This window comes from Homo sapiens, chromosome 14 (genome assembly GCF_000001405.40).
Source record: "Homo sapiens chromosome 14, GRCh38.p14 Primary Assembly".
Lineage (NCBI taxonomy): Eukaryota > Metazoa > Chordata > Mammalia > Primates > Hominidae > Homo > Homo sapiens.
The window spans coordinates 65,295,237-65,305,298 of record NC_000014.9 but is presented as its reverse complement, the minus strand read 5'-3'; the positions used below and the strand labels follow the sequence as shown (position 1 = coordinate 65,305,298).

Here is a 10,062-nt window from a genome sequence, read left to right as displayed (position 1 = left end):
AAAGTCTTCAGGTCAAAACTCAGTCCCACCTCAAACATCCTGAGCTCCCTTCTCTCAGGCAGTCTCTGAAGCACATGGCCCAGCCCTGTGATGGCGACAGCACAGGGAGATCTCCTTCCCATCAGAGTCACTGGTAGCTCTCTCCCCCTCACTACCACAGGGCCCTGACGTGGCTTTCACAAGAGTCCCACAGCAGGAAGATGCCACTCAGGGGGCACAAGCTGACTGGGATGCTAGAAGGGGATAGGATCAGAGATCAAGAAAAGCAGAAGAATAGCTTCCTCCACTTCCAGCTCTGTTCTCTTTTGTTCTCAGGCCAGGAGGGTGTTTAGCACCCTGAGGGGACCGTGTCCTGGACAGCTTAGTAAAAAGGAGAGAAGCCTGGGCACAGTGGCTCACACTTATAATCCCAGCACTTTGGGAGGCCGAGGCAGGCGGATCACGAGGTCAGGAGTTCGAGACCAGCCTGGCCAATATGGTGAAACCCTGTCTCTACTAAAAATACAAAAATTAGCTGGGCGTGGTGGCGGGTGCCTGCAATCCCAGCTACTCAGGAGGCTGAGGCAGAATTGCTTGAACCTGGGAGGCGGAGGTTGCAGTGAGCCGAGATCACACCACTGTACTCCAGCCTGGGTGACACAGTGAGAGACTCCGTCTCAAAAAAGAAAAAAAAAAAAAAAGGAGAGAAAATACAGAATCAATCTAAGTGCAAGTGTTATTCTCACTGGCACCTGCATGTGGGAGGCTGGCCAAGAGAGAAGAGCTAGGTGGAAGGAAGTGGCGCGAGGCAGATGAGGAGGCCAGAGGACAGGAGAAGGGGCTGGGCAGGGTCTCTGCCTTCCTGCCCTCTGGAGGCACTCACTTTATCACACTGGTGGCTAGGGATGCTGGGGTCAGGAGGGGCAGCGAAACAGGCTTGCACCTCCATGGGTGCCTCTGCCCTCATCCAGCACCCTATGCACAGGCCGCATGCCACTCTGGTCATGCCTACCATGGCTGGCAGGTGCTATTTATCACTGGGTCTTTTTACCTAAATGTGGCAGGGAGAGAGGATAAGGAGGGGAAACTCTTCACAGAAAAATGTTCTTTCTCTCTAGATCCACGGGCTCCTTATTCTTCACACGTCTGACTTGATCCTTTGCTTCTTCCAGATTCAGACCTTTCTTGTAAGTGGTCCCTTCCCGAGTCCCAGTGTGCTCATTCTTCCAGGGGCTCGTAGTTACTGCCTTGAGGGAACCGTTTGGGTGTCAGCCACCTGACCCCAGGTTACAAGCAGAGGAGCCACAATTAGCCTCTATTCAAACAAAGGATTCCATCTATAGAAGCTCATTTGTTTTCCTCGCTGCAGCTGGCTGGGCTGGGGGGCTGGGGGGCTGGGAGGGGGTTTCTCTGTCACTTTTTTCTTAAACTTTTCCTTTACATCCAGGAAATGACCAGTTCATTACAGTTAAAGAGTAAGTTAGGGGCCGTCCCAGCAACCAGCCAGCTCCTTGTATTTCGGGCTTTTTGTTCCATTAAAATACCAGAAGAGCTGTTTCATTCGGGCACTCCCTTTCCGGGGCTTGAAGAGAACCCAGAGGTGATTTCCAGCCATGGGTCTCCCTGTGAGCCTTGTAAACCCTCAAAATCACCACCCTCCCCTTGTATCAGGAAGCTTAGGGCAAACACCTCCAGCTCTAGTGAAAGCTGGATTTCCTACCCGCCTCCCACCCCTAACCCTCCAGCCCCATCCCCAAAGTACCACTGGATTCTGGAGTCAGATGAGCCCCAGCTGTGTCGCTTCCTAGCTTCGTGCTCATGGGCAAGTCAGTTAAACTCTCTGAGCCTCAGAAGGGAATAATGATAATGGTGATACCAACTCGGAAGGTTTGCAGAGATTAAAACCCAGTGGGATTTGTAAATGATGCTTAATAGACTTTAAAAGCCTATTTAAAGTTAGACAGCATCATTTCTCAGAATGCTGGGCTAGAGAGGAGCTTTTAAGATTTTTTCTTGTGTGCCTAGAATGTAAGCATCTGCAATGGCACTTCTAACACCCCTGGTGAGGGAGTCCTAATCAAATAAGGGTGGGTCTACTTGTCATGTGTCCTTCAAAGAGTTAAATACTAAAAAGAAACTTGCAAACCTTAAGGGAACCTCAGTGCTGGACACAGTGGGAGAAAATCTATCTCCGTTTCCTGATGGTTCTGGGTAACTGTGTGAACTTAAGAGGCTTAAGAAGACATAGGAAACAGTCACACCTGCCTCACAGATGATCTGAGTTGACAGTCACCCACAGCCCCCAAAGTTGTGGTGGCCTAGGAATGACAGCACAGAAAATCACCCCAGTTTCAGTCTGACTGGACCCCACCCTGCTCCCTCCCACCCCATCCCCTTCTGCCCTCTTTATTCTTGTCTCTCTGAATTGACAGTGGGTCAGGTCTGTCCAGAAAGGGTTAACCTTCAGGCTGTCGGCCAGGTGATTACTAAACTGGAGCCCTGACTTTTATTTACTGGCACATAAATCTTTGCTTTGACAATTGTGTCTGAGTGTTTTAACGCCTAGCTGGCCCTGCTGGAGTTTGTTTGACCATGTTTTGAAAAGTGACTTCAGTGCTTGTGGTAGTAATTGGCCTGGCACCACGAGCTGGCGACACGGCAGCGTGATGGACTGCAGCAATTTGAACTCAGCAGCTGATTTATTTTCTGTGGCTTTCTGCTTCTGCTGCTTCTGGTACTGCAAAGGCATGAAGTGGTCAAAGCCAACATGGGGCCCAGGGCCTTCTATCTGGTAGGTATGCATGGCGTGTGGAGGTGGTGTTTTTCTGCTAGATGTCCTTCTAGAAATGGCCAGGAATTTTCCAATGGCTCATGATAGAAAAGCCTCCTATGTAGTGTTTGGCCTGTGATAGTCCTTTGGGTTCAGTGTCTACCAGGTTGACCTGAGATACGCTTTGCATATCTCAGTGTAGACATAAACCCGAATGAGAACAAGCAGAGAAGATTTATGGAGAGCTCTCTATAGCGAGGGAGTCAGCCACTAGCACTTGGTTTTAGCAGATAGTCAAAGTCAGGCGGGGGAGTAGGCAAGCTTTAGAGTGAGAAAAAAAGGGGAGGGCTTCAGGTGTGCTCTGATAGGAGGTTGTTGGCATGAAAGAGCTGGAGGCAGGCTACTGAGAAGCAGGGTGCCCTATAGAATTGGTGTAGAGAGCATATCTGGCTTTCTCTGGTTGGTCCTGAGTTGGAAGGAGGGCCAAAATTTAGGGAACCTGGCAATGATTGACCAAGTCCTGACTGGGGGCTGATTGCTATAGAGGCTGTGGTTTGGCTTCCTGGGCTGGTCGCTACAGAGGCTGTGGATCAGAGTTCAGTTTTCATATATGGTCTGGCCATTGTCCATTTGCATATTTGGTCTCTCGATGGAGACTAAATTTGAGAATCCTGGTCAGTCTGGATTACGTTGGCATGGTTAAGCTGCTGCCTAGTAAAAATGTATTGCGCAGATGTTTATCATAGCGGTAGTTATAATTGCAAAAAAACACAAAACATAAAACAAGGCTGGAAACAGCCAGAATAGTCAATTTTATAGAATTAAAATTAAGGTGTACCCACATTGCGCTAAACTTTAAAAGTGAAGACATTCTAATGACATTGGAAATGTTTATAAATGTGATGCAAAATGACAACTTGATTCAAAAATCATACATACTATGTAATTTTAGGTATAAACAGAGGTTGGAGAGTCTTCCTGGCCCTTAATTTTTAGGTAAGATGTCCTCAAATACCCGTCACAGGGGTATAGGCAGTCCATTACCCCCCTGGGATTTCTGAAAACTTTCTGAAGATGCATACAATCGTCCTATGCATACAATCACCCAGGCTGTGAGCTCCTACTTCCCCAGGATTATTTAAATTCTGGAATATTGGCTCATCACCTGTCACACGCTGCCTCTAACCTATGCCATGTCAATCCAGTTGTAGAGCTCAGTTCTTTCCTTAATTTCAACAAAAACTCAGTCACCTAAGGCTTTGCATAGAGCAGAGGTATCCAATCTTTTGGCTTCCCTGGGCCACATTGGAAGAAGAAGAATTGTCTTGGGCCACACATAAAATACACTAACACTAACGATAGCTGATGAACTAAAAAAAAAAAAAAAAAAAAATGGTCCGTGCATAAATCTCATAATGTTTTAAGAGAGTATACAAATTTGTGTTGGGCCACATCCAAAGCCGTCCTGGGCCACATGCAGTCCGTAGGCCGCGGTTTAGACAAGCTTGGCATGGAGGGATTTATATCCTGCTAGGCATACTAAAAAATCAATATTGTTAGCTGGGTGTGGTGGCTCACACCTGTAATCCCAGCACTTTGGTAGCTGAGGTGGGTGGATCACTTGAAGTTAAGCGTTTTGGACCAGTCTGGGCAACAAAGCGAGATCCTTTCTCTACACTAAATTTATACACACACACACACACACACACACACACACACACACACACACACACACACACATATATGGCACTCTATAGATATAAGCTCTCTCTACATACATATTATGTATTCTCTCAGTCTGTCTGTCCCTTGGCATTTTTCCCTGTTCCGGATCCAGTCTCCCGATATGTTCTCGAGCCACTTTGTCTTCCTTTTCTTTCCTTTCTCTTCCTCCTCTGCCCTCACCTTCTAGAGGAAACACAGATCCTTCCTAAGGGATAATAACGGCATAACATAACGCAACCAATTCATCTCTCTCCAGTTCCTGCTGCAAACTTTGCTCTCCCTCCACATATCCAAGAACTCTGCTAAAGCTTTAAAATTACCAATTGTATTTTTTTTTTTTTGAGACAGAGTTTCGCTCTTGTTGCCCAGGCTAGAGTGCAATGGCGCGATCTCAGCTCACGGCAACCTCTGCCTCCTGGGTTCAAGTGATTCTCCTGCCTCAGCCTCCCGAGTAGCTGGGATTACAGGCATGTGCAACCATGCCTGGCTAATTTTTGTATTTTTAATAGAGACAGGTTTTCTCCATGTTAGTCAGGCTGGTCTTGAACTCCCGACCTCAGGTGATCTGTCCGCCTCAGCCTCCCAAAGTGCTGGGATTACAGGTATGAGCCCCCATGCCTGGCCACCAATTGTATTTTTAAGGGCTGCCAGGTTACATTTGCTCTGAGAAACAGGACTTCTTTTCCTCCCAGGCCCTGTTGGGTGAGTAGGGGAGGGAGTGGGTGTGGGCAGGTGTTTTTTCCAGTAACACAGAGTTGTTTGAAGATTAAAGACAGGGTACATACAATTCCTAGCACAGGCCCTGGCACTGTGATTGCGCTTGTTGCTTTATCAAACAGTATCAAAGGGGGCCTCCTCAGGTCTTCTGAGTTTCTAAGCCTTATCAGCATTTTGCATATCAGACACCGGCTCTGCAGATAACTCCTTCCTTACCGGCTTCTGTGCAATTTTTCCTCTAATCTGTTCTTAAAGGGTAGAACTTTCTACCTCTGCTTTTTACCAAATAATCTTAATCAGTTTTGTTTTTCTAATGTTTATCCAAGAAGTCCTTAATTTTGTAATTCTCGGTATTAATTTTCAGTTGATCAAATCTGAAAGGCCTAAGAAAGTTAATGCTTTTACTGTCGAATTTTTCCCTTTTAAAAGTGATGAGGCTCTGGGCTGGAAACAAGCTGTCTTTAGATGGGGGCTCATGTCTGGTCTTGGGTATAGGGCCAGTGGAGAACCCTGTCAGGAGCCTTTTTTTGTATGAGGGACCTGGAAGCCACCAGAAAAGACTCTTTCTACGAGAGTGAGAGGCTGGGTGGGTTGCTCAGATCTGTAATCCCAGCACCTTGGGAGGCTGATGTGGGAGAATCACTGAGGCCAGGAGTTTGAGGTCAGCCTGGACAACATAGTGAGACCCTATCTCTACAAAAATAAAGATTAAAAAAAAAATAGCTTGGCACGGCGAACGTGCCTGTAGCCCCAGCTACTCAGGAGGCTGAGGTGGGAGGTCTCCAGAGATTTTTCTTTTTAAAAACATATTTATTTATTTATTTATTTAGAGACAGGGTCTTGCTATATTGCCCAGGTGCCTATTGACAGGCATAATGATAGTGTACTACAGTCTCAAACTCCTGGGCTAAGAGGACTTACTGGTGAACATACCTGAGACACCCCTGATGACTTACAGAAATGTCTGAGGGGAACCCTGAGGAATGACAAGGTCTACAAAGATTTTTTTCTTTTCTTTCCTTTTCTTTCTTTTTTTTTTTTTTTTTCGGACGGAGTTTCGCTCTTGTCACCCAGGCTGGAGTGCAATGGCACAATCTCCGCTCACTGCAACCTCCACCTCCCGGGTTCAAGTGATTCTCCTGCCTCACTCAGCCTTCTGAGTAGCTGGGATTACAGGCTTGCGCCACCATGCCTGGCTAATGTTTGTATTTTTAGTAGAGACAGGGTTTCACCATGTTGGTCAGGCTAGTCTCCAACTCCTGACCTCAGGTGACCCACCTGCCTTGGCCTCCCAAAGTGCTGGGATTACAGGCGTGAGCCACTGTGCCCAGCCCCAAGAGATCTTTTCTTTTTAAAAATTTATTTATTTATTTAGAGACAGGGTCTTGCTATATTGCCCATGTGGCTATTGACAGGCATAATGATAGTGTACTGCAGCCTCAAACTCCTGGGCTCAAGCCATCCTCCTGCCTCAGCCTCCTGAGTAGCTGGGACAACAGGCGTGTGCAACCAGGCCGAGCTCCAGGGATTTTTCTGATACAGGGCAGAGCCATAGCTAGCTGCAATGTACTGAGCCAGGAGTTCAAGGCTGCAATGAGCTATGCTTACACCACTGCACTCTACCCTGGGCAACAGAGCAAGACCCTGTCTCTAAAAATAAATAAATAAGAGAGAGAAACTGAAAAACACTAGTTGGTAATAATGCCCTTGGCTTCTGGTGGGGGGAAGGAGTGGTTTCAAGTAACTGCTGGGTGTATGTCTCTCCAGTTGTTTCCCACCCAGCATCCCATGGCTGTGATTAAGTCCTAATCACACAGGATAGGATAGGAGGCTTAGGTGATGGAGAGCTGATGTAGACACAGTCACACAAAATTTCTTTGAGATATTGAGGACACACAGACAGCACTGTGGGGACAAGCAGAAGCGAGTATGGTTCAGGGATCTTCCTCAACTTGCAGATCCACGTGGGACCTGTGGAATAGGAGCCACCAAGGAACACTTCCTGCTTCAGTGGGTAGAGTCTCAGCTAGGAGGCTCTCCGAGGTGACCTAGGAGACAGGCACAAGGCAGCTGCAATGGGGGATGGTGGTACCTTTGGTGAATACCTTAAGCTTTAGGGAGTGGCAGTTGCAGCGGCCTTGGTGCTATTGACTCAGTGTTGACATCATTGGCTTTAAGCAGGAGGCAGCACTATTTGCTCAGATATTAGTACCCTACATGGCAGGCACTGCAAAATGGTAGGCGAGAGCTCACAGTCAGACAAGACCAAAAGAAAGCAGAGTAGAGGAGGGGGAGGTTGGCGGAGAATCCAAGATAAATGTGAGATTTGGTAGCTACGAAGACTTACTGGTGAACATACCTGAGACACCCCTGAAGACTTACAGAAATGTCTGAGGGGAACCCTGAGGAACAACAGGGTCTCCAGAGATTTTTCTTTTTGAAAATGTATTTATTTATTTAGAGACAGGGTCTTGCTATATTGTCCAGGTGGCTATTTATAGGCACGATGATAGCGTACTACAGCCTCAAACTCCTGGGCTCAAGCCATCCTCCTGCCTCAGCCTCCTGAGTATCTGGGACTACAGGTGTGTGTGACCAGGCTGGGCTCCAAGGATTTTTGTGATATAGGGCAGAGCCATAGCTAGCTTCAATATACCGAGTGCCTGACATCAATTATCACATTTAATTCTCACAACAATCCAAGAGGTAGGTAATATTAGCCTCATTGTACCAATGAGGAAGGAAGAGGTCAGAGAAGGTACATAACTAATGAGGAGTCACACAGCCTGTGAAGTTCAAACACAAGTCTATTTGATTCTAAAGTCAATGATGTATGTATTCGTCTGTTCTCACACTGCTATAAAGACATACAAGAGACTGGGCAATTTATGGAGAAAAAAGGGTTAATTAACTTACAGTTCTGCAGGCTGTATAGGAGGCATAGCTGAGGAGGCCTCAGGTACCTAATAATCACAGTGGAAGGCGAAGGGTAAGCAAGCATGTCTTACCATGGCAGAGCAGGAGAGAGAGACAGGGAACGAAGGGGGAAGTGCCACACACTTTTAAACCATCAGCTCTCGTGAGAACTTACTATCATGAGAAAAGCAAGGGGGAATTCTGCCCCATGATCTAACCACCTCCCACCAGATCCCTCCTCCAACACTGAGAATTACAATTTGACATGAGATTGGGTGGGCACACAGAGCCAAATCATATCACTCTACCACTACACCATCATGCCTCCAAAGAGGACCAGAATTTGGTCAATAAATTTACTTAACATTTATTGCATGTCTACTATATTCCAGGCACTGTTCTAGACACTCACTATATAATAATGAACAACATAAACAAAATCCCTGATCACATTAGGTTTAAAGACTGGAAGTTATTGAAATTGTAACCTTATGTTGTTTTCAGACTAGTCTGACCTTGGACACACAGGTTACATAAGGAAACTTGAATAATTCTGAGGCTTGAGATAACTTGGATTTCCATTACTCAGCCCTGCTCAGGGCCAGCTGCCAATGTCTCCCCCACTACTCATCTGTACATAATCTGCTCCATTACACTGATTTAGGAGAAAAACATAGTTCACTTCTGTTTTCCAAAGAATGAGAATAACTTGTGCTGGAGAGCAGTTGAGAACAGGGGAACAAGGACAGAAACAGAGGACACAATGCTCTTGAGGGTTGCTGATGCCTATGCAAGAATGTTTGCATTTAGAAACAGCATCTATATCCATATATATACCCATATAGTGTGTGTGTGTGTGTGTGTGTGTGTGTGTGTGTATATACATCCATATAGCTTACACACAATCAAGCTCTCATCCACATCCCTTTGAACAGATAGAGTACCAAGACAGGCCAGTCAAGAGCATGGTGAGTGTATATATACAACTGATGCTATGGGAATATTGGCAGGGTGGACTAGTCAGAGTCAAGTATGACACCATTGCTAGAAGCTTTCTATAACCCAATGTAAGAGATGCAGGGTACATGGAATCATGATTTGACTTCCATTTTAACTAAGCCCATGACAAAGGAGGTAGAACATAGTTGTTAAGAACATGAACTCTGTAGCTGGGTGTGATGGTGCATGCCTGTAGTCCCAGCTACTCAGGAGGCTGAGTTAGGAGGATCACCTGAGCCAGGGGAGATTGAGGCTGTAGTGAGCTATGAATCTGCCACTACACTACAGCCTGGGCACGGTATGAACTCTAGAGAAAAACTTCTTGAGTGACTCCATGTTGTGCCACTTACTAGCTGTGGGGCCATGAATAAATGATTTAATTTCTTTTTGCTTCACCTTCCTATCTTTAATATGGAGATAGCCAGGCACAGTGGTTTGCACCTGTAATCCCAGCACTTTGGGAGGCTGAGGCAGGAGGATCACTTGAGCTCAGGAGTTCGAGACCAGCCTGAGCAACATAGTGAGACCTCATCTCTACAAAACAATTAAAAAATTAGCCAGGTGTGGTGGAGCACACCTGTAGTCCCAGCTACCCAAGAGGCTGAGGTGAGATCACTTGAACCTAGGAATTCCAGGCTACATGCCACTGCATTCCAGCCTGGGCTACAGAGCAAGACCCTGTTTAAAAAAATAAAATAAAGTAAAATAAAATAAAACAGAGATAATAATAAAAGCTGCCTCACAGGATGGATTGTAAAGATTAGCAAAATATAAGTGTTAGCTATTATTAACAAAGTAAGATTCTTTGGATAATCGGTCATGATTGATATTATATGTGTTTATGAAATCCTATTTCATTTTTCCTCTTTCAGGGCAGAAAGGAAGATTATATACTGCATTGTTCCTTTCATGTACAGCTAGGTTTTAGCCAATTGATTACTGGTGGAAATGATAGC

General features: G+C 46.0%; 4 annotated features.

Annotated features, from left to right (window-relative positions):
* Nucleotides 598-697: an enhancer, noted in NCBI's record as "active region_8555". NCBI's record gives its function as "activates an Ori minimal core promoter by ATAC-STARR-seq in GM12878 lymphoblastoid cells {active_cell/tissue: GM12878}" and the evidence as "EXISTENCE:reporter gene assay evidence [ECO:0000049][PMID:35858748]".
* Nucleotides 2,248-2,347: a silencer, noted in NCBI's record as "silent region_5849". NCBI's record gives its function as "represses an Ori minimal core promoter by ATAC-STARR-seq in GM12878 lymphoblastoid cells {active_cell/tissue: GM12878}" and the evidence as "EXISTENCE:reporter gene assay evidence [ECO:0000049][PMID:35858748]".
* Nucleotides 2,828-2,897: an enhancer, noted in NCBI's record as "active region_8554". NCBI's record gives its function as "activates an Ori minimal core promoter by ATAC-STARR-seq in GM12878 lymphoblastoid cells {active_cell/tissue: GM12878}" and the evidence as "EXISTENCE:reporter gene assay evidence [ECO:0000049][PMID:35858748]".
* Nucleotides 2,918-3,017: an enhancer, noted in NCBI's record as "active region_8553". NCBI's record gives its function as "activates an Ori minimal core promoter by ATAC-STARR-seq in GM12878 lymphoblastoid cells {active_cell/tissue: GM12878}" and the evidence as "EXISTENCE:reporter gene assay evidence [ECO:0000049][PMID:35858748]".